We start from the raw sequence: 12,181 nt of genomic DNA, 5'->3' as shown, positions 1-12,181 counted from the left end.
TACCAGGGCACGCTTACATTTCTCAAACAGCTGGGCGCGTGACTTTCAGCATTGTCACCACCTACCATGCCCCTTTGAAATCTCAGGCCCAGTTCCCCATGGCAGCAGCCAGGGAGCTGCACTGGAGAGTGTCTCAGGCCTGAACCCCACACTGGCTGAGGCGTCCCCAGGGTCCCTGACCGGCTGTCTGCTTCCCTCCTCAGAGGTGGCTGATGGCCTGTGCTGTGTGCTCACCACGCCCTGCCTGACACAAAGCACGGCTGCCCCAGCAGTGAGGGCCTCCAGCTCACCTGTCACCTTGCGTCAGAAGACTGTGGACTGGAGGAGAGTGTCCAGGTGAGTATGGTGTGTGTATGTGTGTGTGTGTGTGTGTGTGTGTGCATGCAAGTGCTCTGTGAACATGTGAGCACAAAACGGTGTGTGTGCCGAGCACATGAAAACCATGGCCAGAGTCAGCCAGCCCTGCTGAAACTGGGGGGTGAGCACCCCCCACAAGTGTAGACCAAGGGAATCCCTGGGTGCAGGGGCAGCTTCAGGCCTCACGAGGTGTGTGGCAGCTCCCCCTGTTTCTGCAAACATTTACTGAGTCCTTATTCTATGCTAGCAATATACATTCTAGCTGAAATATACCACTTTTCCTTTTCTAATTGTTAGGATCCTAGAAAGTAACACATCCTGTGTAAATTTAATATTATTTAAAACCCACTCACAAAGCTTAAACACATCAGCAGAATCCTACAGTGACTTCTTTGTTTTTTCTAAGAGAAAAAAACTTTCATGGATTTGTTCTGTTTATTCCATTGTCAGCCTGTGAATTTTAAAGGATATCTGTAGTTTGGGATTGGTGGGTTATCTTAATAATTCAGTATCAATCCAGACATCCCATTGGCAAATCAAAGAAAATCAGGATCAAAATTATGCGAGACATGAAGAAAACTGCTCTTTCTTGTAAATAACAAAAATTAATTTTTACTAAAATTTACAGCTGGAAGTGTCAGCCATCCAAGAAAAGAGCAGTTCAGACGGGTTAAGTGATTTGTCCAAGATCACACAGCCCACAAATGTAAGAACCAGAATTAAAATAATGGGTTAGAATAATTGCAGTTAGAGTAGTTAGAGTAATAGGTTAGGGTAATAACTAGAATAGTAAGTTAGGGCCAGGCGCGGTGGCTCACGCCTGTAACCCCAGCACTTTGGGAGGCTGAGGTGGGCAGATCACCTAAGGTCAGGAGTTTGAGACCAGCCTGGCCAACATGGTGAAACCCTGTCTCTACTCAAAATACAAAAAATTAGCTGGGCGTGGTGGTGGATGGTTGTAATCCCAGCTACTCAGGAGGCTAAGGAGGGAGAATCGCTTGAGCCTGGGAGGCAGAGGTTGCAGTGAGCAGAGATTGCACCACTGCACTCCAGCCTGGGCAACAGAGCGAGACTCCATCTTAAAATAAATAAAGAAAAATAATAATAAGTTAGAGAAATAGTCACCAGGATTTTTGTTTTTCTTTTCCTCCTGTTCTCATTCTCTTGCCCTTTATCTCCTCCTCTCTCTATGACTCTCTTTTTTTCCCTTTCTCTACTGCCTTTTCTTCTGGCCCACAGACTGCAGGAGGACCCCGAGGGAACAGAGAACCCGCTTGGGGTAGACGAGTCCCTTTTCAGCTATGGCCTTCGAGAGAGCATTGCCTCTTACCTGTCCCTGACCAGTGAGGACAACACCTCCTTTGATCGAAAGAAGAAAAGCATCTCCCTGATGTATGGTGGCAGCAAGAGAAAGAGCTCATTCTTCTCATCACCACCTTACTTTGAGGACTAGCCAAGAACAGACACAATGGTTCATGCCCAAAAGGAACAGAAGTTCCAACTATTGCCTGGGATCTTGCGAAAAGCGAGGTTCCCTGATCCCTGGGAGCCTCACGTATTTTAGAAGCCAAGAGAAGCCACATGGAGACTCAAATTCGCATCTTCTCTATCCACATCATGACCAAAGGAACCCCTCCCTGGTGTCTGATCAGGGCTGTGGCATCACGAAACATTGGATCATGACATGTCGGGCGATGCTTGGAAGAGCCCAGCATGTATGTATGCACACATTGTGTGTGTGGGAAGGACAAAGCCACTCTCACAAGAAAGGGCACCAGGACTGCTCTCCAAGGAACTGGACCTGTCCAGACAGTTACACTCCAAGGTCATTGGAGAGAACTTCTGTATGGGCAAGCCTGAGAGGGAGAGGAAACAAAAGCTGTGTCCTGGCAGAAGGTCTGGGTTTGCAGATGGGTGCCCTGAATGGAACTACTTTAACTAATCCATAGGGACTTCTGGTATGCTTTCCTCTCTTTTTAAAGGAACTTCGTGACACTAAACATTAGCCCAAAGGACTTCTTAGCCTTCAATTGGGAGATACCTTTGGTCTGCTCCTGCACCAAAGCCATATGGGTGGAAGTCAGTTGGCCTCCCTGGTTCTGCAGAGGGCCAGAAGAATGAGAGAGAGGAAGACTGCTGGCAGGGAAATCGAGGAGGCGAGACTAGAACTGCACCAGCTTCCCTGATGTCTGCAGCCATGGCTTTGCAGCGCAGACAGAGCTTCTCTGGGATGCTGGGATTCTTGCCTGTATGAATGCATCAAGTATTCATTTATTGCCCGAATAGGCATTGCATTAAGTCCTCTGTAAGGTGTCAGGCAAGCCAAAAAAAAAAAAAAGATGCGTAAGTCCTAACCCCCAACAGAGGTGTTCACAGTGTAGACAGGGAAAAAATGTATAAACAAATGTGTAAAAAGAGAAATCAGCTCATGGCTTAGGATGGAATTAGAGACAGGTGAGGGACACTCAGGAGCTCATTTTCCAGCTGCTCTTCAGAGTGGAAGGGCTGGCTGGATCGGGTAGGTAAGAATAGCTGGATTTTTTAGAAAAGAAATGGATACAGTCTAAAGAATTAACTCACCCGGTACTTTATTCTAAGAAGGGTCTGGCATCCATATGAGGAAAAATGCTCAGCTCCAGGAAAGATGGGGAGTCCAAGTGGATTAATGATGTCATGCATAATTTTAAGAGACAAGGGAGAAAACACAATGTATAGCCAGAGAAGGAGAAGCTCCCATCCAAATCCTACTAGGAAGAGAGTGGGCTGCAGATGAATCTGTGACTCATGTTTCCCTGTTTCAAAGGGATCCTGGGGAAGGAGGGGAACATGCTTGCAGTATCTCTCCCTGTCTGTCTGCTCACATAAGCATTCCGTCCATCTGAGCTCATCGTGCTACTGGTATGTGTATGTGCAGTTACACAGTTTTCTGTATCATAGATTCTAGTGTGTTTATACAAGGAGACATCTGTGGTTTCCCCAACCGTTCCAAAAGGCTATTTCAAAGGAACCAGCCAACGTATGAGAAATGAATGTAACACTGTGGACATTGACTTCCCGCATAAGGCAGGGTGACCCCCTGAACTCCAGATGTCTGCACAGTATCTTATGTGTTGTTTTCCGTTGTGACGAATGTGATTGGAACATTTGGGGAGCACCCAGAGGGATTTCTCAGTGGGAAGCATTACACTTTGCTAAATCATGTATTTATTCCTGATTAAAACAAACCTAATAAATATTTAACCCTTGGCACACAGGGAGAGTTTCTGGGTTGAGGAGGATGGGTGGTTCATTCAGAAGCTCAGTGGGTTTCAAATTTTCAAATAAACGTGCAACTAGAGAGAGAGGAGTAAAGATCACCCAGAGAAACCTGGTGCCAGTTAGCAGCTCAGCATCTTCTTTAGGTGTGACCTTAAGAAAAAGCAGATTGTATGACTCTGGGGGGTGTCTTACGAAACTTGAAGATGGGCCTAAGGGATTGAAGGAAACACCAAATTCTGAACGATTGTTATAAAAACGTCCTGCCTAGATTTTCTGCACGTTACTTGTGATAGCTGCGCTATTTGTTCTTCCAAGAATTTCTTTCTGCAGATATTTCTGGACACCTACTAAATAGACACTGCTCAGGTACTGGGGCTATAGCAATGAAAACCAGATGAGGTCTCTGATATCATGGAGCTTGACATCATAAATAAACAAGATGCTTGGTAATGATGGTGATGAGGATGAGGGCAGGCTCCAAGCAGTCACCTGGCAGGCAGGACATCCTTCAGGTCCAGGCTTAGGAAAGGCCTCCAAGCAGAGGCAATGTTTGGGCTGAGGCCTGAAAGATGAGCAGCAAACAGCCTTGTAAAGATCTAGGAAGTGTATGGAGTCAGCAGGAATAATGGGGCAATTCCTGCAGGCAGGAAGAGCAAGACTGCATGCTGAAGGAGCTAAAAGGAGGCAGGGTGGCCAGACTGAGGGAGCTAGGGAAGGAGGGAGTGTGCTTAGGAGGTATCAGGAAGGTCCTGCAGGGCCCTAGAGGGTAGGGGATGGCATAGGGTCCATTCCAGGAGACATGAGGAGCCATTGAAAGGATCCAAGTAGGGGGTAAGACCATTTCACTGATATGTTTAAAAGATCATGCTGTGTGGAGGACAAATCTTTAAAATTCCAGCATTGTATTGTCTATTGACACACAAAGTTTGAAAATAAAGGGGCAAAAAATTTTAATGCAAAAATGAACAAAAGGAAAACCTGTGGTGCATTTTGAGACAAAATGGGATTTAAGGTGAAATAAATTGCATAATGGCAAAGAGAGATGTGCAAAAGGAACAAAACATTAAGAAGAAACAATGATTGCAACCTATGTTAATGGGATGATATAGTTTCAGAATATATTAAGCAACTGAACAGGGACAAATAGATAAGTCAATAATTTTATTTGGAGATTTTAATATACAAATCTCAGAAATTGATACAGTAAGCAAAGATAAGTAAATAAATAAATAGGTAGATAGATTTTGATAACACTATATAACTTTTCTGCCAACAAATGGATAATGTATTAGGTCACAGAGAAAGTACTAATAAATTTCAGAGTCAGAATCTTCCAATTCATGCTCTATGATAATAAAGCAATAAAATTGGAAATCAAATTCCAAAATGATGAATAAAAATTTAAAAATTCTAGGGATCTAAAGTCTAAAAAACAAATCCTTAGGTTAAGAAGAAAATAATGCAATAAATAAAATGTTATAAATAAATGACATATTGCTACTTTTCAAAATTTCATGGGTGTAGCTGATAGAGGGTAAATTATTGCTTGAAATAAATTGATCAGGAAACAAAGAATGAAAGTAATGAGATTAACTTTCAACTTAAGAAGCTAAAGGAACAATAGATAACCAAGGAAACGGGAAGAAGGTAGAAGATAACAATAAGACATCAGTGAAATAGACTTCTGAAAACACAGCCATAGAGAAGATTTTAAAAAGCAAAACATTGTTTAAGTAGACTAATGTGATAAAAATATGAACAAGCATGATCAAGAAAGATGATGGAGAATGAAAGCAAATCAAATGCAGTTCTGCTTGTAACCATACCTAAAGAGGGAGTGTGCCCCTTACCAGCAAAGCCCTAAGACGGCAGGTATGGTCCTCCTTCCTCTCCATCCCCTCCCTACTATCTGGAAGCCCTGGCAGCCCAAACTCAACCCTGCAGATGAGGAAGGCCTTAAGAAATGGCAGAGAAATATCCAGAAGAAACCAGAGCCCTGAGTGATCCAGAGACACCTGGACTGCCCCCTTGGCAGATGTTATGAGAGAGAGAGAGAAAGAAAAAAGAAAATGAACTTTTTTATCCACTAAGCTGCTTTAGTACTGGGTCTCCTCCTTATATCAATTGAGCATTTTGCTTCAATAGGTATAGAAATAAACCCGCCATTATTTGCAGAATAACGAGGAAACTTCATAGAAAATCCAAAGAAACCAACAGGCAAAGCATTAGACGTGACAAAACAGCTCAGCAAATTGCTGAATCCACTTATTTCCTAACACTAGTATTTTCAAACTGGAAAATACAATAGAAAAGAAGACAGCATTGATAATACCAAGCAAATGATGGCATGTGTAGGAACTTACCTCACAATGATTGCACAAAACTTTTATTAAAACATGTTCAAAACTGTACAAAAAGACCTAACAAGGCAAAAATACTACGTTCATGGTTACAGTGTTTACCTGATTCATGAATGCAAGGCTTAACACCATTACAATGTAGTTTTTTTTCTGAAATTAATGACCAAGTCTATGTCACTCCAACTCCCAGCAAAAATATTAGAATAAAACCTCAATAAGCTTATTCTAAAATACATGTAGAAGCATCAAAACTCATGAATATCTTGGTGAATTCTGAATAGACAAGCATAGCATGCTCACACTATGAGATATACTGCAAAAACGATAGAGAACAGTGTTCTGAGTCCAAACCACCATCTCTCTCATCACTTTAGTGGAACTCAGCACTGTCTCTGAACCAAGCGCTGTGCTAAGTGTTAAGGAAACACTAAGCGGATTAAACTCATATAAGTTTTCAAGCACCTAGTCATAGTAGAATTGGAATGAGAGATGTTAGAAAAATAATAAGCATGTAAAATAAGGCACAGTTACTAAGCATTGCTACATATAAGTGTTTTCACTAAGGTGAGATTCTTTCCTTCTGTTTCAAGAGATGAGGAAAGGCTTGGAGGCTTCATTTCAGCTGAGCCCTGAAGGACAGCAGGAACTTTCCAGGTGGATACTGGATATGCTGAACACAGAACAGAGATAAAAAGGCCTGGAGGAAGGCATGGCATTTCCTCAGAAGGGTGATAGCTAGTGAGCCTGGAGTGTAGGATTCATGCAGGATTCATGCAGGAATGGAGTAAAAATCAAGACCAGAAAATTTAGCTTGAGGCTGATTCCTGAGGTCAGGAGTTCACCCTGAGGAATGCAGACTTGGGGCGCTGTCATAGAACAGCAAGGGAAATGTTTTCTGGGTCCGTGAATCATACCACAGAGGACATGACCTTCCCTGTCTGAAGACTGTGCAGGGACACAGCCACAGGATGCATGTTTGCAACAAGTCATCCTTCATCCTCCAGCCTGGCCTCAGGACGGGTGAAATACCCTAGGACATACTTCCATCTGGAGTTGCCTTCCCTTGGCAAGGGAAGAGGGAAGAAGGAGCTTGATTTCTTGAGTTCCTATGTTGTGCAAGATAGTTTGCAAACCATAAGTCCTGATAACATCTCAAGACCTTGGGAAATACAATTCATCACACTGATTTGATGTGATAGGTGAAGAATACAAGGTGAAGTGTTTTCTCCAAGACCAGGATCTTCATGCAGGCCTATCTGATCTTAGGCTTCAGCTCTTTATCTTACACCTTGAGACCCCAAGAGAGTCCCAAATTCCTGGAAAGGCAGCATCACAGAGTGGGGAAATACAGGACTTGGCTTTAGGTTCTAGTCCTTAACACAGCTTCTTCCTTGCTGTGTGTTCTTTGGTAGGTCACTAAATCTCTCTGAGCCTCAAATTTCTTATCTCTAGGTTGAAAAATAAAATAAAGTCCCCATGCCAATCAGTGCAAGGAATCTGTGAGATAAGACACTGAAAGTGCTTTGTGGTCTCAAATGTGCTGAATGAATACAGGTTATTCATTATCATCACAGGGTTTCCCTTGACCAATGTTTCAACAGTTCTGGCCCCAAGATTTGCAGAGAGACTTAAGATTTTATCCCAGAATAAACTGCCAACTCATATTCATTTCCCCAAACATCTGTTGATAAAGAACACATTTAAGAACTGCTAATATATTGAAGTATTTTAGTTCTCTCAATTCCAAATAATTTCACATGCATCCCAAGGACTGCTGGGAGCAGTTGTAAAAGCTACTTCCAAATGACTAAAACAGATGGAAGGGTTTATTTTTAAATACACTGCCATTTGTTAAAACAGATTAGTATTTGAAATTCCCCAAACACTTAAACCCTCAAAAAGAAAAATCTGCTTTCTGAGCCCATTGGAAGGTATTTTTGGCATCTTCTGGGTCCTAATGAGTGTCTGGTTTTTGAAAGGGCCCTGGAGAAATCTCTCCAGGATCAATTCAACGCAGGATAGTTTGTTTTCAACACCAGGAATTGAAAGATGTTTGTGCTCAATTCTCCTGCCACTGAGATGGATCACCTTCGGAGGGACAGATTGCAGAAAACTGGAATCAAAGGACAAGACTCACAAGAAAGGGGTGGAAGGGAGGGAGCTGGTGTATCCTGTGGGTCCTGGGGCCCCGAGAGCAACAACTGAAACTTCCCCCAGTCATCTGCTCATTGCTGCCCCAAAATAATTATGGCACATCCACGGACTCTAAGATGTGCTGTGTGGGGTGCTCGGGGTCCCGTGGAGAGCAAGGCACACCCAGCCCCTGCTCAGCTGGAGCTAGCAGTCTTGTGAGGCAGCAGCTTTGGCACTAAGAGCAATTACTTACTGTTGGAAATCCTGGTGAATGCTGCATAGGAGACGTACAGGCAGCACAAGCCATATAAAGAGGGCTCAGTTCTAGGCTGAAAAGTCAGGAAGGCTTCTCTAAAGGAAAAGTAGGGCAGGCAAAGAGGGGGATGGGGAAAAACTGTTCCATGCAAAGGAAACTGCCTGTATGAGCCAGAACAGAGCATGAACTCCAAGGAACATGAAAGGCTCCTGTGGCTGATGGAGAGAGATGCGTGGCAGGTGACACGGCTTTCTGTTGGCAATGGTGACAATGCTGACCTAGCATCAGTTGCGCCCAAACAATGACACTTCTCCTACCCTCCTAGGATCAAGAGTTTGGATCCCTAAAAGGTTGGGCAAGGCTGAGGTACAGTTAATTGTTCTCCATCTTTCCTTAACTTGAGTAACTTTACAGTATCCTAACTGCTTTCTTTGCCTCCAGCGTTGCCCCTCTTAAATTCATTCTTCACCCAGCTTTAAGAGAGGTTGTCCTGAAGGGCAGCTCTAAGCACGTTTCCTTCCTGCTTAAAGGCCTTCTGAACACCCATGTTCACAGCAGCACTGTTCACAATAGGCAAAAGGTAGAATTCAAATGTCCATCAACAGATGAGTGGATAAACAAAATGTGGTCCCTCTGCGCAAAGGAATATTATGCAGCCATAAAAAGGAAAGAAATTCTGACACATGCTACAACATGGATGGACCTTAAAGACATTATGCTAAGGGAAATAAGCCAGACACATTAGGACAAATCTTACATGATTACACTAATATGAGGCACCTACAACAGGCAAGTGGATAGAGACAGAAAGTAGAGTAGTGGTTACCAGGGGCTGAGAGAATGAGGAGATGGGGGTTGTTAAAGGATACAGAGGTTCTGTTCTGGCGACGGATAGTAGTAATGGTTGCACAACATTGGGAATGTACTTAATCCCAATGAACGGAACACTTAAAATGGTTAAAATCATAAAACAAAACAAACAAGCAAACAAATAAATAATCAAAACCACTCTGAAGGCTCCCCATGGACTCAGGATAAAACTCAAGCTGTTCAGGGCAGTCTGGCTCATCTCTGCTCCACACTGCTGCCCCACCAGGGCTCTGTCCTCCAAGCTTTCCCTGTTGCCAGGACTTTGTCTCTAGGTAAATGCCTACCCAGCATTCAGCATTTGGCTCAGACACTCCCCTCAAGGGATGTGCTGATCCAAACTCCCTCCTTCCCTTATGCTTGGCTGGGGCCTTCTCTTAGGGCTGCCCTGAGATCTTCTTATAAATATCTGCTTTAAGCATTTGTCCCTCAACCCCCAGTAATGACAAGCTTCCTAAGAACTGGGTTATGTATAATGTTTCATGGCATTTCCAGCATCTTGCACAGCATATCTGGCACCAATTGGATGTGCCATGAAATTAGAAACTAATCAATGACAGATCAGTAAATACCAGGGCGTATGCAGTGGCCAACCAGGTTATTTTTTCCATCATAATTATTGTCATTATCAACATCATTGTATCATCACCAACATCATTATCATCATTACCACCATCATCCTCCTCCTCATCACCATCATCATCAGCCTCACGTAGCCGGCACTTCAGGCCATCCAGAAGAATTGCGAACAGTGAGTTCTCTTCTTTACCATCATGCATTGACAAGAGAGATAATTGATGGTTCAGATCACTAAATCCTAATGAACCACTCTCAGGAAATAGAAACACTTCACCATCTAAAATTTTTAGCACTTCAGACGTGAGTGGAAAAAAGTCAGGAGAGCTCTTCAGCATTGTGGAATCACACATACATGGAAAACTCCAAGCAGCATCCACACTCAGGACAAAGGACAAGGGAAACCCAAGCAATTGAAGCCAACTAGACTTTTGCAGCACAGGAGAACCACCTCCCCCAGCCGCATCTGCAGTAAGACTGAAGGTAGAACACACACCACTTACCATCAGCACAGCTCTCCGGAAAAGTTGGGAGTTGGTGGCCCTGGCCGTGAGAAGGTGGATGCTGGCCACATCAGCCCCGCCACGGTCTGCTGCCAGGGACACGCGCCGAGGGTCCCCGCCAAATCCTCGGATGTGGGTCTGCACCCAGGTCAGAGCCGCCACCTGGTCCAGCAGCCCCCAGTTGCCACTCACCTCTCCGGACCCTTCAGAAAAGAGGAAAGCCTTTTATCCTTTGTGACTTTACAACCTTGGATTTGAAAATCATGGTGCTGTCTATGGCAGGCATATATGCGGCCCCGCCAGGGGCTCTGGGCTCTTGTCCTCACAGGTAGAGACTGTGGGTTCCAAATACAGTGAGGAACAGTGGAGGAGCATGGGCCTTGAGACCAGACACACATAGGCCTGAATGCTAGCCAGCTAGGAGACCTTGATCATGTTCTTGTACCTCTCCTTTGCCAGCTAGGAGACCTTGATCATGTCCTTACAACTCTCTGAGCCACAGCTTCCCTGTCATTAGCTGAGGGGAGTTGCTCAGATTTGAGGCAGCACAGCTTCAGGTCCACCACTGTCTTGGCCAATCAGTGGGAAGGAGGTGAACTCTCTGCCCCATGTCTTTGACCCCTTCAGGTGGTTGTCCCTGACAATGGCCAGGCCAGGCTGGAGCTCTGGATCCCACCCTTCCCCTCACCTCATCATCTGAAGCCTTTATTAGCATGCAACTGAATTGATCTCTTTCCTTTTTCATAGAATCCAATTAACATTTGTTGAAAACTCAACACTATTTTTTTTTTTAAATAAAATGATCTAGATACAAACAAGTATAGCAAAAATATGCTCTTCTCCTTAGGTTTTTGAGACACTACATACACTTCTCGTTGTCTTGTGAATTCAGTAGATCCTTGCCAAACTACTCCACTAACTTGTCCTCTTTATCAGACCTTGAAACACCAGATCTCATTCTTGTCTCATCTGAGGTTCCCATTCTTCCTTTCTGACTTTGCACTAAGGAACCTCATCAGGTTCCATGGCCTTCATTACCACCTACATGTTGGTGATGGTCCTGTGTGTGTCAGCGGCCCAGCCCACTCCCCGAGCTCCAGACCCCTCACGTTTCTCCATGAGGCACCATAGTTATGATTCACAGGATTCAGCATCCAGCAAGAAACTACTGATGAGACCCCATATTCCCAAATAGGAAAAAAGAAAAGAAAAAACAGAAAAATCTTGCATCCTGATTCCCCAGTCTAGTAATCACAAAGTTGAAGAGAATACCATGGTCTCACCATGGAGGCAGACCAGCCGGCTGCAGTCCCAACTCCACCACTTACAGCCTTGAGGGGCCCTGGACAAGTTCATGTTCGTGTGCTTTGATTTTCCCCATCTGTAAAACGGGGGTGATAATAGCACTTCCTCATAAGGTTGTTGACTAAATCAGTTAATATTTGTAAAGGGAACAGAACCGTGCTTGTCATAAAGCACTATGGAAGATTACTTTTTCATAAAATAGAACAGGTTTAGGTTCTAACATTATGTTGCTGATGCTCTTAGCAGAGTGTTCTTGTCTGCAGCCTGCCTGAGCACTCCACTTAGCTCAGAGTGCATAACGACACAAATTATTCTTCCAGCTGTGGAGATGTTCAAAAGTTCTTCAAATGCATTTTGTGTTCTGGGACTGGTGAAGCCATTGGTAGAACATGATCCTCGCTGTGAACTTTCTGGATTGCTCATATGATCCATTTGTTAGGATGAATGTGTTTGTTTCCTCCAAGGTCTCAGGTAACCCAGGAAAGCAGGGCACCAACTGAGTCAGACCAAGTCCTGCAAATCTGAAAAGTGACGTCCACAGCCTGTATACCAGGGACAAGGAGGAG

At 44.1% G+C, this 12,181-nt stretch overlaps 2 protein-coding genes across 18 annotated transcripts in view; one reads left to right on the top strand and one right to left on the bottom strand.

Moving 5' to 3' along the window:
• Nucleotides 1–3,606, top strand: part of SLA (Src like adaptor) — a 65,875-nt gene extending 62,269 nt beyond the window's left edge. For all 9 annotated transcript variants that reach the window (NM_001282965.2, NM_001282964.2, NM_001045557.3 and 6 more), the window contains 2 exons: nucleotides 204–336; nucleotides 1,597–3,606. In NM_001282965.2, the coding sequence (NP_001269894.1) occupies nucleotides 204–336; nucleotides 1,597–1,810 (347 nt within the window). In that variant the 3' untranslated portion in view covers nucleotides 1,811–3,606. The remainder of the gene's footprint in view (nucleotides 1–203; nucleotides 337–1,596) is intronic.
• Nucleotides 1–12,181, bottom strand: part of TG (thyroglobulin) — a 267,942-nt gene that overhangs the window by 94,566 nt on the left and 161,195 nt on the right. For all 9 annotated transcript variants that reach the window (NM_003235.5, XM_017013794.2, XM_006716622.4 and 6 more), the window contains one exon: nucleotides 10,311–10,513. In NM_003235.5, the coding sequence (NP_003226.4) occupies nucleotides 10,311–10,513 (203 nt within the window). The remainder of the gene's footprint in view (nucleotides 1–10,310; nucleotides 10,514–12,181) is intronic.

This window comes from Homo sapiens, chromosome 8, assembly GCF_000001405.40.
Source record: "Homo sapiens chromosome 8, GRCh38.p14 Primary Assembly".
In the NCBI taxonomy this organism is placed as follows: Eukaryota; Metazoa; Chordata; class Mammalia; order Primates; family Hominidae; genus Homo; species Homo sapiens.
The sequence above is the reverse complement of the archived record's forward strand: the minus strand, read 5'-3'. Positions and strand labels throughout refer to the sequence as shown.